This window comes from Homo sapiens, chromosome 8, assembly GCF_000001405.40.
Source record: "Homo sapiens chromosome 8, GRCh38.p14 Primary Assembly".
NCBI lineage: Eukaryota > Metazoa > Chordata > Mammalia > Primates > Hominidae > Homo > Homo sapiens.
Window position 1 is genome coordinate 6,916,644 of NC_000008.11, and position 23,141 is coordinate 6,939,784.

The 23,141-nt window shown below is 46.8% G+C and overlaps 2 protein-coding genes across 2 annotated transcripts, besides 2 other annotated features; both read right to left on the bottom strand.

Moving 5' to 3' along the window:
• Positions 7,278–7,778: an enhancer, noted in NCBI's record as "H3K27ac hESC enhancer chr8:6781443-6781943 (GRCh37/hg19 assembly coordinates)". NCBI's record gives its function as "activates a minimal SCP1, AML or CMV promoter by ChIP-STARR-seq in naive H9 embryonic stem cells {active_cell/tissue: H9 hESC(naive)}" and the evidence as "EXISTENCE:reporter gene assay evidence [ECO:0000049][PMID:30033119]".
• DEFA6 (defensin alpha 6) lies at positions 8,054–9,433 on the bottom strand. The gene is made up of 2 exons (NM_001926.4): positions 9,200–9,433; positions 8,054–8,284 (listed from the first exon to the last, which is right to left on the bottom strand). The coding sequence occupies exons 1-2, from the start codon at positions 9,390–9,392 to the stop codon at positions 8,175–8,177; spliced, it is 303 nt and encodes a 100-aa protein (NP_001917.1). The 5' UTR covers positions 9,393–9,433; the 3' UTR covers positions 8,054–8,174.
• A 9,743-nt stretch (positions 9,434–19,176) lies between these two features.
• DEFA4 (defensin alpha 4) lies at positions 19,177–21,663 on the bottom strand. The gene is made up of 3 exons (NM_001925.3): positions 21,583–21,663; positions 20,085–20,268; positions 19,177–19,498 (listed from the first exon to the last, which is right to left on the bottom strand). The coding sequence occupies exons 2-3, from the start codon at positions 20,254–20,256 to the stop codon at positions 19,377–19,379; spliced, it is 294 nt and encodes a 97-aa protein (NP_001916.1). The 5' UTR covers positions 20,257–20,268; positions 21,583–21,663; the 3' UTR covers positions 19,177–19,376.
• Positions 21,399–21,468: a silencer, noted in NCBI's record as "silent region_18889". NCBI's record gives its function as "represses an Ori minimal core promoter by ATAC-STARR-seq in GM12878 lymphoblastoid cells {active_cell/tissue: GM12878}" and the evidence as "EXISTENCE:reporter gene assay evidence [ECO:0000049][PMID:35858748]".
• Positions 21,664–23,141: the final 1,478 nt, after the last annotated feature.

Sequence of the window (23,141 nt, forward strand, 5' to 3'; positions counted from 1 at the left end):
ATAGCAGACCAGTCAGAGAAAAAAGTCATCTTGGCATCACTTTCTAGAGTTAATCATTTCATTTTTCTTAAGTTAATTAAACTATTTTTTTCTTAATGGGAGAGCGTCATAGTTTTCCCCTTTCATTCTTTGAGAGGTAACCATGTCCTCCCTGAAGTGGCAGAAACCTCTGTTGACTGCTCCTATCTGAAAGGAAATACAGTCCCTCTCCCCTTCAGGAGAATTTATGCTTTTTCCACTAAAGATGCGGATATTACTTACATTCCTACAGTGCTTTAAAATTTTGATGATCTTTCAAGTCCATTTTGTCATCTAATTCCTCCAATAAGCAGTGATATAGGCAGAGTAGAGAATGTTTTTACCCATTTTACAGATGGAGCTCGAAGATGAGGTAAAAGACTGAGGCTTGGAGATAAGGCCACTTTTTCCCCGTTAACTTGACCAAGATCAGCTGCCTAGAAAGTGGTAGAGAGGAGACAAGAAACACAAGGCAGCAGGGTTCAGCCCCTCATCAGTAGCTAGTTTCAACATGTAATAGTTTCATTTTGGCTGGGCGCGGTGGCTCACGCCTGTAATTCGGCACTTTGGGAGGCCGAGGCGGGCAGATTGCTTGAGGTCAGGAGTTCGAGACCAAACTGGCCAACATGGTGAAACCTCGTCTCTACTAAAATTACAAAAAATTATCCGGGCATGGTGGCACATGCCTGTAGTCCTAGCTACTCAGAAGGCTGGAGCAGGAGAATTGCTTGAACCTGGGAGGCGGAGGTTGCAGTGAGCTGAGGTCGTGCCATTGTTCTCCAGCCTGGGCAAGACAGCGAGACTCCCTCTCAAAAAAAATAATTTTATTTGAATTATCTTTCTGTGAAAGAAATAGGTTCTGGCTCCCGCACTTCCTGTGCACTGATCTTATTTGATGGAACAAAATTTGAATGTGCTACCTATATCATAGGCTGTTCAGGGATACCAAGAAAGATAGATAAATAGACAGATAGATTACGAATATAGATAGATAGACATAGAGCTAGAGATAGAGATATCTTCCACCTATCTGCTCACTATGCCAGGGTATCCTTGAAGCATTTGTTAACTCGACACAGCCACAGCATAGAAGAAACTTGGGTCTTGAATGACTGCATGGAGCAGAGTCTGCTCTTGCATAGGAGCCCCAATACCCTGTATTCTGGACCCTGCTGCATCCACTCGGGCTGAAGAATTCAAGAAAAAGCCACCTATCTGTTATAGCCCTTCCCTCCAGAGAGATCAGTGTATTAGTAATCGCCTTATTTATTTTGACTTTGATAGTATTTTTTGTTATAAAACAACTCTTGATGTTATTAATGTGAGATAGTCCGAAGATTGTTTCTTCTCACTGTATAATGAAAGCAACTGGGGCAGAAATAACCAAAATCAAAAAGTGCATTAAAAACAGATGGCTGCAGGTGTCCTATTATCTTTCATTTGTGTTAATTAAATTTAGTGTTGGCAGATAATATAAAGAGATACTCAGTTCAATCTGACTTTTGGAGAAATTACAATTTTTATTAGTACAGTTATTTCCAAATATTGCAAATATGAGAACAAATAACCCCCAACTCATAGTGATTCAATGCAATAGAGGTTTATTTATGACTCATGGAATAGGCTGCAGGATGGGGGGCATTGGGGCACTCATGTGGGGGCAGCCTTTGCTCCTTGCAGTCATTCAAGACCCAGGTTTCTTGTATGCTGTGGCTCTTTTAAGTTCAATAAATGCTTTGAGAATACCCTGGCATAGTGAGCAAACAGGAGGAGGATATCTGTATCTCTATCTCTGTCTCTATCAGACCTGTATCTAAAATCTCTGTCTCTCTCTCTCTCTCACTCTCTCTATCTTTGTATCACTGAACAGCCTATGACATAGGTAGTACATTGAAATTTTGTTTCGTCGAATAAGATTGATGCACAGGAAATCCAGGAACCAGAATCTATTACTTTTATTGAAACATAATTGAAATGAAACCACTACTTGTTGAAACTGGCTGCTGATGAGGGGTTAAAGATGAAATCTAAAAATACAGTGTCATTTTATTTTGTATAAAAGTTAAAGAATATTCTGAGTTTGCTGTAGGTTTTTACTTCTTCTTTTATTTCTGCAGATAACTCTGAGGTTATTTTGTTTCGATGTGTTGTTGAAACAAAGCATAGAAATTATTCAGATACATAGTATTTCCTGCCAGTAGCTTTGTCATCAATCTGACTGAGACACATCACCAAGGAAAAGCAAACTTTAAATATGAAATAGGCAGTCTTCATTCAAAATATTTATAGGCATTTAATATGGATAACCACTGTTTCACGTATAACTTTTGCTTAATTATAATTGAGAAAGAACAGTAAGTTACGAAGAGGACGGTGATTCTCTCTGTTTCATGCCTCCCAGCACACTAGCATTAAACAACAGGCACAGAGATTTTTTTTTCTCTGTACCATGTTTTGTTCTGGTTATATTTATTGGCATGTAATTTTGTGTTTATGGAAACAAATAATAAAAATAGAACTAATTATATATATGCCTTAAAAAATGTACAGCTTGGCACAAGAAAAAATGGAAAGAAAGAGAAAAGGGTCTTTCACTAGAGAATATTTGGGAGGGAAGATGGAGTGGGTGCTGCCAGGTGGATGTGTGGCGGAACCTTTTTGCCAGCTTGTTTCCCTTGGGCCTTGGGCCACTTTGTTTTCTCTGAAAGTGCTTTCTCTTTAGCAGGGACTTTGGTAGCATGAGCGGAACCCCTAGGTGTTCATGGAAACCTGGCTGTCCAGGGGCTTGGGGACACCATGGGACACGCTGCCACCCTCTAGTGGTAGAATAGAGACGCACTTCACCACCAGGGGGTCTCCTCTCTGTCATTGTTTTCCAGCCTCAAAAAGTCACATCCTAGCCCTGCGCTCATGGTGGCTCAGGCCTGTAATCTCAGCACTTTGGGAGGCCGAGGCGGTTGGATCACTTGAGGTCAGGAGTTTGAGACCAGCCTGAACAATGTGGTGAAACCCCATCTCTATTAAAAACAGAAAAACTAGCCAGGCGTGGTGGCAGGCACCTGTAATCCCAGCTACTCCAGAGGCTGAGGCAGGAGAATTGCTTGAACCTGGGAGACGGAGATTGCAGTGAACTGAGATCACGCCACTGTACTGCAGCCTTGGCAATGGAGTGAGATGCTGTCTCAAAAAACAAACAAACAAACAACAACAACAAAACCTCACATCTTTTTTGGATAACATGAAAACCCTATACTTAAACCCCCTTCCCTGACCCAGAGATTCTTAGCGGTGTCTGTTTGAGAATCACTGAATTTGTTGCACAATTTTGACAGCTGAGATTTGGTGTAATCATTGTTGAGGCTTGTAATACAAAAAGCAAAATTTCTTTTTGTCTCTTTCACTTGTCAAATACAGATAATACTGTAACCCTGAATATGCGTACGTCTATTCAATAGTTACCCTCACCCTAGTGTTCCCTCAGAGGGGCACACAGAATCCTGGTTGCTAAGCATTGCTTTGGTGCATGCTGAAGATCCCAGTAACTTCAAGCTCTCTTTATTTTGAATTGTATGTCTACTAAGGGGAGTGACCTGGGTTCCAGTGAAATGGTTTCCACTGCACCTGCTCCTTTCACTTCCTCCCCTGCTCTGTCCTCCCCTTGCTCACCTCTCTTTCAATTTCTCCTTAGCCTGCCTTGCCTTTAGCAGGAGAAGAATGGTGAGAATAGAGAGAATCTAGTCCTGAGCATGGTCGACCTGGGTTCTGGGCAGGTTACCTGTGCCATGCCCTTATTCTACCCGTTGGCCTGTGCAGGGAGGTGAGCACTGAGGAAAGACAGGTGTGTTCACTCTGCCCAGGTGAGCTCCGGGATGGGACTCCCTAGGAGGGATCGTGGGGAGGGACGTCCAGGCTACCATTCAGGGCTGGCCATCTGGGCTTCAGGGACATCCTGACGTCTTTGCCTTGTCCTGTGGTCTCCACAGAGACAGTGTTGGGGCTCCCCTGAGTTGCTGTAATTCCACAAGTGGGGAGCTCCCCTCACATCTCTCTGCTTCCTCGGCCAACCCTCCTCTCCAGCTGCCAGGGCCCTGTCTACCTGACACTTGGACCTTGCTGCATATTTCTCAGCTTCCGTCCACCTCTCCCATCTGGCTGTCTTTGTGTGTGTGTGTGTGTGGCTTTGTCAGTTACGGCGGGGTTTCTGGGCCACGTGGTCCGTGCTGTTTGAGCCATCCTGAGCTAGAGGCTGTACCATGTCTCTAGGGGAAGGGGTGGGTATGAGGCCTGGAGAACTTTCAGGGCTGTCTTGCGTGGAGGACTGTCTACAAGGTTTAGGAGCCGGGATAAAGGTAGTCCCTGCAAAGCCCGGACAGCCACAGCCCACCTCGGGGGCCATCGAGTGCTACCTGGGAGGTCTCCTCCCCATCATTTGCTCAGGCTACGTGTTAGTCAGGTTCTCCAGAGAAGCAGAACCAATTCCTTAACTGTGTGGTGTGGTGAGCCACAGGCCAGCAGGCTGGAGACCCGGGGAGGAGCTGCAGGCCAGTCCCGAGGCCACCTGCTGCCAGAACTCCCTCTTGCTCTGGGGAGGTCAGTCTTTGTTCCATTCATGTCCCCTCCTCATTATGGAAGACCATCTGCTTTACCAATTTAAATATTTATCTCATAGTCCACCAACTTAAATATTTATCTCATCTGAAAACAACCTTACATAAACATCCAGAGTACTGTTTGTCCAACTGTCCAGGAACCATGGCCCAGGCATAACATCAACCATCAAAAGGCATTTCTCGGGTTTGCGTGTTCTCTGGCGTCTGACCCCCAAAGCCACATTCTCCTTGTCCTCAAGGATGGGTTTCTGGCCCTTGGCAGCTTTGAGACAGATTTGAGGTATTTGAGGTTCCTTGGAAGCGCCAGTCATGCCCTGGTATTCTGTGTCCCGGGGGCCCCGATGCTGAGCATGGACATCAGGCTGGTTCACAGTCGGTGACTGCAGCACCCTCACCAGCCTCGCATAAAGCAGGAATGTTTAGCCCTGTCTTAAGGGTTTGCTTGGGGAAGGAAATGATGGTGAGCAAGGTAGGACTTTTCACATGGGGAGTCATTGTGCTTACATTGTGGATTACGATGATCCCATCCGTTTTCAGAGAGTGTTTTCTCTATTTGCTTATTGCCAGGGTCTGGTCCTGGGGAAAGAAGCAATTGGGGGCTCTGGTGAGAAGGCACAGGGGCTCCCCCAGAAGCAAGGACAGAGAGAGCACGGCTGTGCTTGCTCAGGTGTGCTCAGCAGGCTGCGACGTCTGCAGCCTGGGGCTCCTGCGCCTGTCTCTTTGATGTGAGCTCTACCTCTCCTTCACCATCCAGGCTGTCCTGGGGCAAACTCCAGGTGGTCACTTTTAGCTGTGTCTCTGGGCAGACAAGTCTAGACAAGACACCACTTTCTTCTCCACTCCTGTTTCCTGAGTGTACCTAGGGAACTACACCAGGTCCTCCCCCAGGCACCTGCTCCATTAGTGACTGGTGGCCATCTTCACACTCCCGGTGAGCAAGGAAGTGGCACCAGCTGGGATCCTTCTTCTCAAGCCACACCCAGCTGAGAAGGCTGAAGTAGGCACCGCAGCCTGTCCTGTGGACTTGAACTGCTCCGCTGCTGCAGGCGTGTCCTGCCAGGTGGAACAAAAGGAAGAACACACTTCACATGCACAGTGCACACTAGAATGCTATTTAATTCTGAGGGGAATTGGGTGACCCTTGACTCCCTCCTCCCTCTGACTTGTTAATTTTCATTTTCTAGATCTCATGGACTTTTTCATAAAGCTTACGTTTTATATTTTACAATTTGTATTGAAGCATAATGTGCAGAGTGAAAAGCACCAATCTTGGGAGTTCAGCCAGGTATGTTTTGGCGAATGTGTTCACCTGTGTGACGCCGGTCCCCATTGTGACATGGAGCATTCCCATCCAGCCCCAGACTACACCTTCCCCTTCCCTGCCTCCTCTCATGATCTGCTGCACTGCATTCCCTACACAGCAGACAGAGCAGGAGTCATGCCTTTCTTCTAAGGAACATCCTCCAGTGACTTCATTGCACTGAGAAGCCCCTCCTGGCCCTTGCAGGCCGCTGTGCTCTGGGCCCTACTACAGCTCTGACTGGTCCTGCAGCCCCCAATCCCTGGCCTTCTTCGTGGCTCCGAGCACAAACCCCGTCTTAGCACCTCAGGGCCTTTGCATTTGCTCCCCTGCCTCCATTTCTGGAATTCTGCCCCTGAGATCTGCACGAATTGAGCCCTTTCATCATCTGGGTCTCAGGTCAGGAACGCTAACCAAGACTCTGCCCTTGACCAAACTTTAGTCAGGCTCCTCTGAGCCATCTTTTCAAGTAGGTCCTGTCTGTCTTTGGTCTGTCCAGCCCCATCTTAGCAAAGAATCCTGCTAGGTCACCCCTCGACTTTCTAGGCCATCCCCCCACTTGCTAGGCCACCCCCTCACTTGCTAGGCCACCCCCCCACTTGCTAGGTCACGTCTCCCCTTGCCAGTTCACCCCCCACTTACTGGGTCACCCCCATTTGCTAGGTCACCCCCTCACTCACTAGGTCACCCCCACTTGCTAGGTCACCCCCCCACTTACTAGGTCACCCCCACTTACTAGGTCACCCTCCACTTGCTAGGTCACCCCGTCACTTGCTAGGCCACCCCCCTTACTAGGTCAAGTCACCCCCCCCGCTTGCTAGGTCACCCCCCATTTGCTAGGTCACCCCCTCACTCACTAGGTCACCCCCACTTGCTAGGTCACCCCCCCACCCTTCCTATCTGACTGTGTTATTTATTCCCCACCTTTGATGTCTAAGTCTCTGACCACCGTTATGAAGAATCCTGTTAGGTCCCATAGTCAAGTTTTGAGACAGCTGCCACAAGGTTATGGAGGAGGAAATGAAGCCTCCATTTTCGTGCTGGGTTTGTCAAGTCCATTCAGGTAGAAAGTGGCAAAGTCAGGCTTGGAAATGGGTTTTGTGACTCCATGTTTCTCCTCGTTCAGACCTGCCTTGGAGAACCTTTCCCTCCACGTCTTCTGTCTGTGTTTTAGAGAACTGGAAAATAGGCCACTTTAACATGGTCTCTCCTACAAAGAGGTAAGAAGACCCAGCAGAAGGGCAGAAGAACTGGGAGTCTGGCCAGACCTCTGGATGAATGTCAGGGTTGTTGTTATACCCAGGACTGTTGTCACCCTCTTGTCTCTGGACATAGTGACAAGGGACAAGGCAAAGAGAGAGGGCCTGTGTTCTTGTGGACATGTGGTTGGCAAGGTTCTGGCCAGAGTCGGAAGGGCCAGGACCCCACGTTCCTTCCTCCTATGTTTGTATCCCATTCAAACCAAGATTAAAATTCTAAGCCCTCCAGCCAACTGAATGGACGCCTCCTCTCAGCCCAAGGCATTCTAGTGTTAACCTCAAACACTGGTTCAGGCCATGATGGGACGTGGGGATCAGGAATACCTCATGATATCCTCCTCCCATTGGAATTCAGGCACAGCTGGCCAGCATTAACATTAAAACAGAGTGCCTAAGGCCACGTGCGGTGGCTCATGCCTGTAATCCCAGCACTTTGGGAGGCCGAGGTGGGCGGATCACTTGAGGTCAGGAGTTCGAGACCAGCCTGGTCAACATAGTGAAACCCTGTCTCTACTAAAAATACAAAAATTACTTGGCGTGGTGGTGGATACCTGTAATCCCAGCTACTTGGGAGGCTGAGGCAGGAGAATCACTTGAACCCAGGAGGTAGAGGTTTCAGTGAGCCAAGATTGTGCCACTGCACTGCAGCCTGGGCAACAGAGCGAGACTCCATCTCAGAAAGCAAAAAACAAAAAAACAAAAAACCCAAATCCTCTCTTCTCTCAACATCCTCTCTACCACTTCTCTGGTCTACATAGAAAACTCTTTCGAAGAGCTAGTGTTCTGAGATACGACTTGGGTTTTTGTTTTTGCATCTGAAGAATCCTGAATTATCAAACACCAGAAAAGCACAAACACAAAAGAACTTGCTGAAAGGACTTTATTTGAGATGAGGAAACAAAGTTGATGGCAATGTATAGGACACACGACAGTTTCCTTCTAGGTCATAAAGTAAATTATGAATATATTTCTCTCTGTTCTCATCCCTCAGAGGCAGCAGAATCTGTGGTTAATACCCATGACAGTGCAGGTCCCATAGGAATATTCTGTTGAATAACAGGACCTTCTGCAATGGCAAGTGAAAGCCCTTGTTGAGCCTGGGGACAGAGAGAGAGAGCATCAGAAATTGAGCACCAGGGTCAGCAGCGGGCAGTAAAGAGAATCTTCAGGAAGTTGCATGCTTGCTGACATGTAATGCTGGCTGCATTACAGCCAATAGCATGATCACACCATCAATAGGAATAAATACGCAGAGCAGTGTTGGTCACACACAGGATTAGAGAGCCATTCTGATATGCTGTACTTATCTGCTCCTTCCCTGTCACACACACATCTGAATGCACCCATATGACTGTCTCCAGTTTGCAACGGTTCCTATAAAAGTCAGATTAAAAAACATTCCTTTAGCAGCTGGATGTGGTGGCTTACGCCTGTAATCCCAGCACTTTGGGAGGCCAAGGTGGGTTTATCACAAGGTCAGGAGTTCAAGACTAGCCTGGCCAAGATGGTGAAACCCCGTCTCTACTGAAAAAAAAAAAAATACAAAATTTAGCCAGGCTTGGTGTCTGGTGCCTGTAATCCTAGTGACTTGGGAGGCTGAGGGAGAGAATTGCGTGAACCCAGGAGGCAGAGGTTGCAGTGATCTGAGATAGTGCCACTGCACTCCAGCCTGGGTGACAGAGCGAGACTCCATCAAACAAAACAAAACAAAACAAAGCAAAACAAAACATTCCTTTAAAATTAGGCTCTCTTCCTTGAAGTAGAGACTCCTCAATACATTTCTACATGGCAAAAAATTAGAAAATTTCATAGACTTATCATAGAATTAAAAAATCTTTAGAGAAAAGTCATGCCTTGAATATCACTGATTCTTCCTTTTCAGTACAAACATAAAGTAATTGAGGCCTGGGGAGGTGATCACCTAAGAGAAAGAGCCAGCTGTTGGATCTAATTCTAGAAGTGCTTGGTTTTCCTCTCTACACTCCTAGCTCTGCAATGCTGGTGTCTCTTACCCAAAGCTCTAAGACTTGAGCTTGCATCCTCTGCAAAGGAGACGGCAAAGTCCTGGTCATTTGCCCCACGCTGCTCCTGGGCATCAGCCTCATAAGCTTTTGCCTGCAGTGGATCATCCTCAGCTTGGAGTGGCTCAGCCTTGGCCTGGAGGGCCACGAGGAGAACAGCAGTGAGGATGGTGAGGGTTCTCATGGCTAGGGTCGCTGGAGGAGAGAGAGCAGGAGCAGATGTGTGGGGAGTGAGGAGCCAGCCTGGATTTATAGGTCTGCTGGGAGAAGGCTCAGGGACAGATGTTGCGGTGAGACGGGGAGTGCATGTGATTGGGGAGCAGAAGAGCTACCCTTGCCCTCCATGTCCCTTTGATGCTCCTTTGTTCTCCAAGCTTCATTGTAGTGTGAGGCTGTTTATTGAGTGTCTGTTCTGGTCCCAGCTGATAGTGATGATAAGAACAGTGTTACATTGTCCTGTTTTCCATCTGCTGGAATATTTACTTGTTAATATTCAAAAAAGAAAAGAACAGTGCTTTCAATGAATAATTTCAGGAATCAAATGCCTCTTATTTTCTGAAGGTGGGGCTGGCCACTCTCTGGAGGTCTAGACCTTGAGGCCAGAGCTGGATCCCGCTAGAGTAGAGAGTTAATTCATTGCAGGATTCAGGGGGCATTTCTGCCCTCATGAAGGAGGCTTTGAGATTATGGGGTGAATAGGCTCTTGTGGGGCACAGTGTGGAGAAGATAATGACCTTATCAGCCTATAAGGGAAAAGAACTCAGTGGGATACTAGGTAAAGAGTTAGTAAAACTAAAGCCAAAAGATTTATTTCAAGAAACCCATGTGATCTGAATGTATCAACTAAAATATGTACTAGGTATTTCTCTCCACTTTGAGAAACATCGAAACAATTGACATGCCCACAATCCCCCTCTGAAATTTTATTTTATTTTTAATTTTAGAAAATGTTGAATTGCCCACAAGGACCATTCAAAGGGTAAAAGGAGTAATGAGCCTCCATCCTTGCCCCAGCCCTGCAGCTCTGCTCCAGGAAATCTCCACTTAAAAATTAAACATTGGTTTGTGCTTTGTTTTTTCTCCCTAATGCTGTAATTTGAATACTTTGTAGCTCAAAACATATAGAACTCTACCATTATTTTCATAGTCTCTTGTTTCTGGTCTTCTATTCAGGTATTTTATCCATTTTGAGTTAAGTTTTGTATATGCCAAAAGAGAAGGGTCCAGTTTTATTGTTTTGCATATGGAAATAGTATTCCCACCACCATTTATTGAAGAGACTCTCCTGTCCCTATTGTGTCTTCTTCATGCCATTGTCAAAAGTTACTTGACCATATGTGTTTCGATGTGTTTCTGGACTCTCAATTTTATTTCACTGGTATGTGTCTGGTTTTATGCCAATACCATATTGTTTTGATTACCGTAGCTTTGTAATATAATTTAAAACCAGGAATTGTGATGTCTTCAACTTTGTTTTTTTTTCTCAGAATTGTTTTGTCTATTTGGGTTCTTTCACCATTTCATACAAATTTTAGGATTTTTTTTTTTATTTCTGTAAAGAATGCCATGGGGATTTTGATAGGAATTGTGCTGAATCGGTATATTGTTTTGTTTGGGATAGACATTTTAACAATCTTAATTCTTCCAATTTTCAGCCCAGGATATCTTTCCATTTATTTTTACATTCTTTAATTTCTTTCACTATTTTTTTTTTTTTCATTTTCAGTGTGTAGATCCTTCACCTCCTTGTTTCTTCCTAGGTGTTTTATTTTTTGATGCTATTGTACATGGAATTGTTTTCTTGATTTTTGTTTCAGTTTTGTTAGGGAATCTATGGGCATTTAAAAATGCATTTGTTCTGTATTTATTTGAATTTTGCCTTCATTTACCCAGCAGGAGATGACCATTTAACTAACATCTAAATTTCGAATTAAACTTTCCCTCTCCAACCCAAACTGTAATTGTCCATTGTGACTTATAGCTGTCTATGCCTCTTTCCCCAGTAGTTCATGGGACAGGCAATAATTACTCTATCACCTGGAAATCCTACCCTGGAGCTGTTACTCAGATACCCTGATCTAGCTAACAGGACAAGATACTTCTGTAAATAAGTGATCTAATTTGTCTTGACTTAAAGGAGCATTTTGGAATTGTATGCTCTATCTTTGGAAACTAAGAAGTGTTCCCAGCCTATTTTAATTGAAATAGAAGATAATGCAGACCAATCCCCATGGGCATTGGTAAATGTTTAGACAGATGGGGTGCAGGAAGGCTTATCAGGATCCATATCGCAGCTTGTAAAGTCACCACAATCACCACGCCAACAGACGGAACGCCTGGAAGTAAACAGAACTTCTAGAACAGTAGAACATCAAAGGGTGTCAGGGACAAGGGAACTTCACGTAGTTCCTTTCCCTCTCTCTACTTACCTTCCTGCCCCTAGAGTCACATACATGCAAATACTGAAGCACAAGCTCTATTTTGAAGAGCCCATTTACTCTAGGATCCAGCTTTCAATGATCATGCACAAAATCGAGGCAGGTATATCTCCCCCTTGTTTAGCCATCAGGCTCCTGCAAGAGAAGTAACCTCCCTACCGTGACCCGCAGTCACGAGGACCTCATCTCTGTTAACTGCCTTTCTTGAGTTAACCCCACCCCACTCCCACATGGAAGCCCTAATAAGAACCGAGCATCTTGGAGATGCCACCGAGATGAAGTTGACTTAGGCCAAGGGCTGTCTCTGTTGTCCTCAGTGGCTCCAGCATACCTCCACCCTGAGATGTCCTCACACATCAGACGCTGACCTAGCAGAGCCCACACTATCTTCCAGTAAAGAAGAACCTGCCCTTACAGAGAACTGGGCGCGCAGCACTGCAGTAGCACCTTAAGGACAGCAGGTGGCCCTCCTGCCCTTAAACAGGAGTTGACCCAAGAGGGACTTCAAATGGGAGCGCTGTAAAGTGCTGTTCAGCAAACACATTGCTTTCTTCTGCACCCCAAAGTGTACATATTACAACATTAGTTCAGGGGGCACAGAATACACTGCTGCTGGTTCCGTGTCAGCGGTAGCTGCTGGCCCTGGAAGGCTGGCCTGCCCCGTCTCTAACCTAGTGTCATGATGTCGTTCCCCCTTGTGCTGGCTGCGGGGCTGAGGACCTGAGTCTGGGGGCCTCTGCTCTTTCTCCTGGGTGGCAATGCTCCTGTCCCTGCCTCCTTCCCAGTCTGTGGTGGGGACTCGACAGCCAGGGCAGGTCAGGTTCTCAGTCTGTGCTGAGGTCTCACCTGGGCCTTGCCTCTGTCTCCCCCAGGTGGCTCCCAAACCCCAATTAGAACAGAGTGAGTCTGTATCTCGTGGTCCCTTTCACCTTTCTTTCTGGGCTGCACCAGAACCTTGGCAGAAATCAGTGGTTTAAGCAAAAAATGGTGCTACATGTAAAAGTCTTTGCAACACTTTCACTTCCACCCCCACCCACCCTGCCCCCAGCACAGTGTCCTGGACTTGCCACCAGTGTCAACTCTGAGTGTAGACACAACTGAAACTGTTCCTTCATACACATGCAGTTCAGCTTTCAGACACTCAACAAGAGCCTTGACACCCTCAAGCTGGGGTAAATATCCTGGGGAAGCTACAGGTGGGGGTGCAGGTGTGGGTGTGAGAGGAGAAAGGCCTTCAGCAGCAGCAAGGATATTCCCACACTCTCTGAGGCTGTCTGGTGACCCCAGCAGACACAGTGAGTGTGGACCTTGGGCAGGGCCCTGGGACATGGTTTTGACCCAGTGTGGAAGGGCAGTTTTGGAACAGAGTGTGTGTGTTAGCGTGGGGTAGAGCGGGGGCTGCGTGGGGGTGAGCTCTGAGAACTGTCCATCTCCCAGCCCCTGAGAGTGCACCGCCCTGTCCCTCCCCTCAGCCTTTTGTCCACCTCCCTGCAGGGAGGGTCCTGGTGCTGCCTGTGCCACACAGCAACTCCCGGGCCTGCAGATCCAGCTGGGACAGGCAGGAGCTCCAAGTCCCCTGCCCTTTGTCTGCCTTTCCCAGCCGCCTCTCACATGCTGTCTATGTGTCTGGTGTTGTTGCCTGCAGCAATTTTTACAAATGACTATGAAAGAATAACTCTCTTGGGCTGTTTTAAAATGTGGTCCCAATTCTTGGACTCTTCTCCCACAGAAAGGGAGGTTTACTTCTTTCCTGTTGGATCTAGGTCGGGTGACATCTTCACCAATAGAATGCACCTGACTTAGTACCATGCCGTTTGCTGGGCCCAGGTGCTAAGACACTGGTATTTTTCACTTTCACCGTCTTGGATGGCGCTGCAGTTGGAATATTTTTGTCCCTCTGAAATTCATATATTGAAATATTAAACCACCAGGTGATAGCATTAACAGGTGGTGCCTCTGGGGAGGTGAGTAGGTCCGGAGGGCACCTCATGAATAGGATTAGTGTCCTTATAGAAGAGATCCCAAGGAGCTCCTTCATTCCTTCCATCAGGTGAGGACACAGTGAGGAGGTGCCATCTATGAACGAAAAAGCTGGTTCTCAGCAGACACCAAATCTGCTGCCACCTTGATTTGGACTTCTCAACCTCTAGAACACTGAAAAATATATCTGTTGTTCATAAGCAACTCAGTTTATGGTATTTTTTTTTAAATAGTGGCTCAAACGGACTAAGAGGGCTGGTCACTTGGGGGCCCAGACACCGTGTTTTGAGGAAGCCTCAGCCTCGCACAGGAAGATGAACTGAGGGCACCTGCGAGGGTGAGCTAGAGAACACAGAACAGCCAGCTTTCTGGGAAAAACCAAAACTCTGATTTACAGTGTTTGTAAATTTCTGTGGTTAGAATCCTCCCAGCTCTGGACCGTTTAAAAAATGTCACACAAACCACCTTTCTCATGAGCCGGCATGATCTGGCCCCAGCGCATCACAAGGTCCCATCCCTCAGCCCTGTGAGAGCTCCCAGCTGAGCCAGCACTGCCTGCCACCTGTGCGCGAGTGTCTCAGCCCTGAGCTCCTCAGATCCCAGCAGAACCTCTCCTCTGAGCCAGGCCCAAATTGCCAAGGTATGAGTGAAGACCTGATGGTGCTGTTTCAGTCCACTATGTTTGGGATATCTTTCCACACAGCAGTAGATGAACAGAGGGCATTGTCACAGTCTTGGCGAGAAGTTGGACTTGTGCATTTCTGCGTGTGTAAACTTCTGCTTCTCCAAAATATTGGCGAAGTAGGACTGAATCCTCTTACCTTATTCCCAAAGTGTCACAAAGAGCCCATGATGGTGGGAGCATGAGATTGTGGACTGTTTGGAGTGACCGAAGAACCCTCTCACCCATTCCTAGTTTAAATTCTTCCCGCTGGGAGCAGGGGTGGTGTGGGAGCCAGGTGGGGTCTCAACCTCTGCCCTCAGTAACAGACTCAGAAGAGGCCATAGGACTCAGGAGTTGGCTGAAACAACAGGGAAAGAAGTAGGGATTTTCTCTAGGAGATTAGCTGCGAAGGGCACAGAGAGATGACCATGAATGACATGGCTGTCACCTGGGGAGAGATCCCAAAGTAAGATCAAGAGAAACAAAGGGGAAAAAAGGTAAAGACGACAAAGTAACTCATGCTTTGAGTCCTTGGACCAAGCATTTCCTAAAGCCAGAATTCCTTGGTATGGGAGTGAAAATGTTGACTCAGGGCTGGACAAGGTAGCTCAGCTTGTAATCCTAGCACTTTGGGAGGCTGAGGAGGAAGAATTGCTTAAGGCCAGGAGTTTGAGACCAGCTTGAGCAACATAGCAAGCCCCCTGCCTCTTAAAAAAAAATGGTGACTCAGCTTGACCTGATTTCTAATGTTTTACTCCAAGACTCCACTAAGATGCCTGAAAAAGATCAAAAATACCAAACTCGGAGAGCCTGAGGCAAAGACAGTGCCGTGCACAAGGACAGGAGATGAGAGCAGATGACAAGTGTCCCAATGCAGCTTGAGGGCAGATGACAGGTGTCCCAAGAGCAGCTTGGGTATCAGGCTCCCTGGTGATTCCCATGCACAGCCCCCGGGAGAACAGCCTTATTGATGCTGATCAGCAGGGAAGGAGGGACGGCTACATTAGAGGCTGGAAGGACAGCGGGTGAGTCAGGGATGGGGAGCTTCATAGTTGATGTTCAGAAATGGAGGAATTCCAGGTGGTGGCAGGAGCTAGTGGGTGGCCATGGGTTGGAGGGCTGGGACAAAGAGGGAGTGGGGTCACTGTCATCCAGGCGGACAAAGCACTGAGAGGCTGGGAGGGTGACCGGCCAGGTAACATTACAGTGAAAGACCGTTTCCCGTAATCTTAAGTTTCTGAGTGAGTTGAGTGGCTTTGAGCAGCAAAAGGGAAAAATACATAGGTTTAGAAAAGAGAATAGGTAGTTGTCTGATGTCTTCCATTCTGGTTCTGCTTGTAAGAAGAGTTCAAGTTCTCAAACAGAGAAACAGAAGAGAAAAAAATGGCTGTCTTTTATTAAAAAAAAATCAGAAGGCTTTTAAGAAATGTCAAGGAAGTATTTATTGAACACTGTTGAAATAAGAGTCAAAACGCTGCAATAGGGTGAGCCGTTGAACTCAACTGTCCTGAAGCCCAAGGCAGGAATATGTAGGCCCTGGGTTAAGCTAGTGGAAAAGTTCTGGTGGTTGTTGGTGGGGAAGTTGAGCAGTGTGATTGGGCAATCTTTGTTTGCTAATTTATTAGGAGATAGGCTCCTGTCTTCCCACAGAGACAAGGCTGCTATCCCCTTGAGTAATTACATTTATAGGGATGAGGCATCTGACTTACTCTTTATTGTTCTACCACTCAAGTGATTCAAGGTAGAAAATGTCTTGTATGTCATCAGTAAACATAGAGTGCATCCACATGAACGTTTCTGGGTCTCACTTGAGGCTGAGCAACTTGCCCTGGTTGTTTGGAGACCCTCACACCTCTCCCTGCATTCTCTGTCCCCAGAGTTTGCAGCTGTCATAGCCCACCCTAGACTGCAGTAGCAGAAGCCACATGTGGTGCTCCCAGTGTGTCTATCCACACAGAGGAGCAGGGAGGCTCCTTCCTCGTCTGGCCCTTTCCTTTGGATTGATGGATGCTTCTCAGCACATCAACCTGAATTCTACTCCATCCTTCTGTGTTGCAACAGCAATTCCTCTTAATTCAATGGAGGTTGACCTCCTCCTGCATAGCTCTTGCCCTGATTCTACATTCTCTACCTAATTTTCTGCTTTAATCATTCTTTTATTCTATTGAAAGTTTAAACATCTTTATGTTTCAGTTTAAGATTCACCATGAAATCTATCCTTGGCATTCCATGACAGAATGGTCTTTTCCTACTTCCAAAAGTCCTAATGCTTCATTAAACCACATTTTACCCATCATAGTCTCCTATATTTTAGTCTTTTTAATTAGTTTTAATTAGTCTTTTTTAAGGAATGTTGTCACATGGACTAGACACACGGGCTGCTTTACCTCTGTAGGCTTCAGTATTTTTTTCGTAAACTCACATACTTTGGAGCACAGAAGTATCCCTAAGCCCATGAACGTGTTTGAATGCTTTCTCTGCATGTGAGGCTCCAACCTTTCCGGCCACAGACTGAGTTTGTGCTGAGGCATCATTAGCTGGTTTGTATTCATGCCTGGTCATGGGGAAGGCCACCTGCCTCTGATTGTGGGGGTTGCTGGTGTTTAAGCTTTAGTGCCATGGGTCCCATTCAATATCTAAGGATCGGGTTTCCTGGCTTGGATCCAGTCAGGTGGCATTTGGGGTTTTGCCCCTCTAGCACATTGCCTCAACATGCCACAGTTTTCCAGCCTGGGGTTCAATTTTGTGTCAATATAAATTTTGAGTACAATTAATTAATTTAGTTGAAATTAATTTATTGATCATGTGCAACGTATTAGGTGGTCATCTATGCACTGTGGTAAGATGATGAGGAAAACATGCAGCTTCCCTCCCAGTGTTGGGAGACAAATGTTCCAGAGAGTAAATGAAATGCACAGATGTGAGATAGCTTACAATTCTACAGTTAAAAATAAAGAGAAGAGGGGGATAGAGGTCACCAGGGGGAACTAGTTGCAATTTGAAATTAAGAAATCAGCAAAGTCCTCAGTGACAAAGGGAAGTTCTAGCAGAGACCCCAGGATCTAGGGCGCAAGCCAGGTGGACTTCTGGGAAGTGCAGAAACCGCGTGATGGAGTCAGCCGGACTCAGTGGACGGTTAGGAGCAATATGCAGAGTTACAGCAAGAACCGCGTGACTTCAAGTCAGTGGCGGTTACAGGAACCCAAGGAAGACTGTCCCCCTTTCACATCCTGAAACCCAAAATGTCACCTTCACCTTCAATACAAGGGGAAGACCTTGGACCATTTCTTTGTCAATCACAGACCCACTGTGTCTTCCCTGGGACCTGTATTGGGTTCCCCAGCTGTGAAGTGTCTCAGTGGGGTGCCTGGACCCCTGAGCTGCCTCTTCAGACAGGCAGAGCCTCAGTCTGGGGCTGAGACCTGCTCAGAATCTGCATGGGTAGATGTGGAGAACACCTGCTTCCTTCTCCTGGGCTCTGGGCATTGTGGGTGGTTGGTGTTGGTGGTCACAGCTGTGTCTTGGCCCATCAGATTGTTTTGGTCAAGAATGGGGAATAATCCTACTAGAATCACTGTCCCTTTATTTGCAAACTGTAGTTTCTCTGTCACTCTTGGAAGTTGTGGGGGCATTCTATGAATGACCCTCCAGATAAGAGGAGCCATGGCTTGAACAGAGAAGGTATTTTTCCAAGCATGTGTAGTGGATTCATAAACTGGAACTGCTAGATCCAAAATATAAGAAATCTGTGGGCCAAGCTGGACTTGTCCCTGGAGCTTTGTGATCATGTCCTCATAGGCCGTTGACAAGACATCCTCAACTATTGTTAAAGGTACAGTGGGTTTCTAGGGTAGGGACAGAGAGGAGAGACAGGAAGAGAGGTCACATCACACCCCAGCAAGATGTCAGCCTGGCCCTCAGGGACACCCGGGTTAGGCAGTGACCCTGTTCTCTTGGAGGGGAGGAGGAAGACAAGCTCAGGAAGGTACAGACCCCACGTGTGCTGTGCCTGATGGGGAGGCTGCAGTTGAAGGTAGGACAGCAGGGGACGCTGTGGCCTTTCCGGGAAATGCTCTGAGCATCTCAGAGAGCGCTCCTGGTTCATTCCCTTTCCCTAGACCTGGTTTCTTGCTCACTCACTGATGTGCAGGATGTTGTGGTTATCAGAGCCGCAGCCTGCAGCAACAACAGGAATGTAAGGTTTCTGGTGAAGCTGTATTTTCCCAGCAGAATCAGGTTCTCAGCAGCTTTAAGGCAACCCAAGAGAGTGCGCGTTGCAAAGTGTAGTGGAGCATTTGTGTGTGTGCGTTTTCTGGGTGTGAAGACGACTTTATGGGTGTGAAATCCAGGTCTTCATAGACGTGGCTGAAGGGTGCTCTTAATGAGGACATCCCATTGTGGGCTGCTGTGTTTTGTGTTCCATGCACCCCGCCTTTGCTAACAACCCATTTCCCTCTTAATTAAAGTTGTTTCAGTGGATCTCCTATAACCCTATGTCTTAAAAGGCAAATGTGTGACCTGGACATGTTCAATAAAACTCCAATATTTTGACGCAGAGGATGGTGGTTTTTCCCGAGAAGTAGTGAGGTTGTGAGTAGCTAAACTGGAAGCTGACGTTGATTCTTTTGCCTAGTATATGAGAGTTGTCTTTGAGAGTGAATCCATTCAAAATGAGGCAGAATGAAAAGACAGAGCAGTGGATGGTGAGATCAGTGGCATCATTTGTGCCTTCGTTTCAGTTTGTGTCTGAAGCCATGGCTCCTCCTTAAAAATTCTAGATTTTGAAACTTTAATTTGTTCCAAAATATTCATGTAGGATTCTGGCAGTTGCTTTCTAGTGTCTTGACACAGACACATATCAAATTTTAAAGAGGTGTAAACAAAGACATCTTGTTACGAGATATATATTTAGGATCAAGAAAGATGTTAAGGACAAAGTATAGGAGAAACAACCATTTCCTGTAGCTCTCAAAGCAAATTATGAGCTCATTTTTCTCTATTCTGCAAGCTCAGCTGCAGAAGCATGTGAAGCTAACACCACCGATGATGGCGTTCCCAGCATGACATTCTCTTGGACAGCAGAACGTTAATCGACACGCGTGCAGCAGTATGTGAAACTCACACCACCAATGAGGCAGTTCCCAACACGAAGTTCTGTTCGCCGGCAGAATACTAATCTGCAAGAGCAGACCATGCCCCTTGTTGAGCCTGGGAACACAGAGGAAGCATGAGAAATTAAGCACCAAGGTCAGCGGTGGGTGGTAAAGGGAATCTTGGAGAAGTCACATGCTGGCTGACCGGTGATGCTGGCTGCATTAGTGCCGGTAGCACAAACAACCTTAGTCAATAGGAATAAATACACAGAGCAATGCTGCTCATACAGGATTTGAGACTCATTCTCTTTTGCTCTGATTTGTGTGCTTTTGCCCCATCAGACACACACCTGAACATACTCTTAAGCCCATCTCCAGTTTTTAAAATTTCCTTTGTTGGCAGAATGAAATATTTTCCCTATAATATCTACTTGTTTAGATCCAGAAAGAACTGGTCAATCTGTCTCTCCGTATCTTAACCCTAGCGAATTTTATAGACATACCTTGGAATCAAGTCTTTGGAGAAAGAAGACTACTTACATTTGTTTGTCTCTCTATTCAGTTTGGAGATAAGAAAATCGAGGCCCAGAGATGGTAAGTAAAGCCACCTAAGTGACATCCACCATTGAGATGTGATTCCAGAGCCCATCTCCCATCCGTCTCTCTAGACTCGGTAGCTTTTTTATGCTGGCCTCTCTCACCTGAAACCTGAAGAGCAGAGCTTTTATCCCATGCAAAGGAAATAGATATGTCCTGGTCTTCTGGCCCACGCTGCTCCTGGCCTGGAGCCTCATCACCTCTTGCCTGGAGTGGGCCTGCCCGGACCTGGAGGGCTACCAAGAGAATAGCAGCGAGGAGGGCGATAATCCTCATGGCTGGGGTGACCTGGAGGAGGGAGAGCAGGAGCAGCTGTGTGGGGAGGGAGAAGCCAGCTTGGATTTATAGCTTTGCTGGGAGAAGGCACAGAGATAAGAAACCTTTGGCCTTCTGAGTGAGAGGAGGTGTGCATTTTGTTAGAGAGGATGCCGACTCCTATTGGCCTTGACATCCCTGGAATGCTCCTCTGCTCTCCCAGCTTTCTTCACAGGAAGCTCTATGTTTAGTGTCTGTGCTAGGTTGAAGTTGATGGTGATGATGAGGACCCTGGCATTTTTTCCTGTTTTCAGGAAATACCTAATATTTCCTGGTTAAATCTTTAATATTCTAAAAAGAATGGAAACAGTGCTTTCATTCAATAATTTAAGAGAGCAAATGCCTCTTATTTCCTGATAATGGGCCCTACTATTCTCTTCAGGTCTAAACACTGGTGCCAGACCTGTATTCCGGTGGAGTAGAGAGTAACTCATTGCAGGCTTCTAGGTCATTATACCCTCATGAAGGGGCGACTGAGGTAATGGGGTGAGTAGTCTCCTGTAGGGGCCAGAGTGAAGAGGACAATGACCTTATCAGGGTACAGGTGAAATGAGCTCAGTGAGAGAGATAAAGAGTTGTGTAAGGTTCATGAGTTGCTAGGTGCATACACGTGGTCCTTTCTCTCACAGCATGTAAAAAATCAGCTCAACATGGATTGAAGACTCAACATAGACTTGAAAAGACCTGAAACCATACAACTACGAGAAGCACATACAAAGATAAAGCTTTGGACATTGACGTGAGTAATGATTTCTTGGCTATGACACCAAAGGCACAGGCAATAAACAAATGGGAAAATAGACAAGCGGGGCTGCATTGAACGCTAAAGCATCTTCATAGCAAAGGAAACAATCAACTGAGGGAAACGGCAACCCAGAAAATGAGAGAAAATGTTTGCAAAGCCTACGTGGTAGAAGGGGTAAATATCTGAATACATAAGGAAGTCAAACAACTCAATAGCAAAAAACAAACAACCTGATTGAAAAACAGACCTAGGACCTGCAGAGGCTTCTCTCACAATAAAATAATGTTTTAAGAAGCTGTGATCGTCTTTATTGGACATGTCAAGTAGGACACGTGTGTTTGGAAGGAAACTTTTTGAGTTTCTCTATTGACTTAGCTAGTAGCCATTACCCCCAGCAGCCGCCAGACACCCAGATAGAAGTTCACAGCAGGGGCTTCACCCGCTGGGTCCCTCTGGGGTGGCCCCACAGTGAGAGGTCAGACTGGGGACACAGCTTCAATATTGAAACCTCAATGTGAAAGTTTAAGTTTTGTGTTACTTACAGATCCTCAAGCTAGGCAGGGCGAGCAGAGAGGGCAGACAGCAGTCCTGTGTTCCAGGTCTTATGTAGCAAGAGCAGCCATGCACACAGAGGAGAGGACTTCCTTATTTAAGGGTCTTTTGGTATCAGGTGTCCTAATTTTTCAGGGTTACTTTCTATTGGGTACTTTAAATAACTGTTAACAAGGGCAGTTGAGAAATTTGGCAGAAAGCTGGAGTTCAAGCAGGAGTCCACGGAGGTACCGACCCCTCGTCTACTTTGGTCAGCCCTGGCCAGGCCCAGGCAGCAATCAACTATGGATTCCTCATGACTCCTAAGACAATTGACCCCATGATACCTATGCTGGTGGCTGAGGCTGAACTACCTGGACCGAGGGAATATTTAAAGCCACCAGGAGAGCCTGGCCTGCATATTGTTGTATACACCTTGCGAGGAGACTAGGATCAAAATGCCACCCACACACAGATGAGGATTTGGAATGTGGTCTGAACTGACCTCCCCAGGCCCTGGGGTCTAACCATAAAAACAAATCCAAGCCATTCAGACAAGTAAGGTTGGAGAATACCTGGATGAGACTGAATACCGCCTGGGCTTGTGTTGCTGGATAGGGCAGGTTGCAGGCTCCCGAGTAAAGGATGTGCATATAGCATGTGGTTCCCTAGAGGGGACAGTCACCTTTTTGCTTGGCCTTAGATAGTTCAAGCCTAAATGACTGTCTAGGTCATCCAGGCCAAGGACTCATCAAATGATTGCGTGACACCTAATGTCTGTCAGAAGTCCCTTAGGATGGTGGCCAAAGCTGCAGCGAGATTGGTGTTAGCTTGCATCACCTTGTGTTGTGAGCTCAAATACCCTGTTCCCAAACCAATCCCGTAGGCTTACGAGTCTCCCTACACCCAGAGTTAGGAAGATGGTCACTGGGTGGGGGGGATGCATAAGCTTTCCCTTGTGTGGTCCCTCCTGGGTTATTTGAAGGGGAGTCCCAGGGAGACTAGTGCACATTTTAAAATGTACCACTCTCCACCATCCTCCTCCTTGTAGTGAGGTAAACGGGATGAGGTTTCTGGAAATGAGAAAAGAATGCAGTTGTTCCTGAGGGAATGAATACCTATAGTGAGGTTGCTGAACCCAGTATGCAGTCCAGGCAGCCCCTGCCGCCATGGGAGGGCCGTGCACAGCGCTGGTCCAGCAGGCTGGGTGCTCAGGGCCTCCCCTGCAGCTCTGCGTGAAGGCAGCAGGCACTGGGCTATGGAGGACTGGGGGCAGCGGCGCTCTCAGTCTTAAGGAGGGAAGAGGCATCTCAAGCCTCGCTAGGGGTGGTCGCTGTTCCAGAGCAGTGAAGTCGGCTGCCCCTATGAGGAAGCAGTGAGTTCCTGATCTGTTGCAGGCCCAGCAATTTCACCTTTGGAGGAAGTGGGCACTGGACTCATTCCAGCAGAGGAAGAAATTAGGGCTATTTGGGGAACTGGGCCCCAGATGATGGTTTTAGGTTCTAGGGCATTAGTAGGTGCCTGAAGGGCCCAGTGGATATGGATGTAGAGGCAAAATGAGAAGGGGTGT

Excerpts from the sequence above, each read along its gene's own strand:
- DEFA6 (NM_001926.4), bottom strand. The coding sequence starts at position 9,392 with ATGAGAACCCTCACCATCCTCACTGCTGTTCTCCTCGTGGCCCTCCAG. Across the intron at positions 8,285-9,199 it reads CTCAAGTCTTAGAGCTTTGG|GCTCAACAAGGGCTTTCACT; the intron begins GTAAGAGACACC and ends CTCTGTCCCCAG.
- DEFA4 (NM_001925.3), bottom strand. The coding sequence starts at position 20,256 with ATGAGGATTATCGCCCTCCTCGCTGCTATTCTCTTGGTAGCCCTCCAG. Across the intron at positions 19,499-20,084 it reads CTCTGCTCTTCAGGTTTCAG|GCTCAACAAGGGGCATGGTC; the intron begins GTGAGAGAGGCC and ends CTGTGTTCCCAG.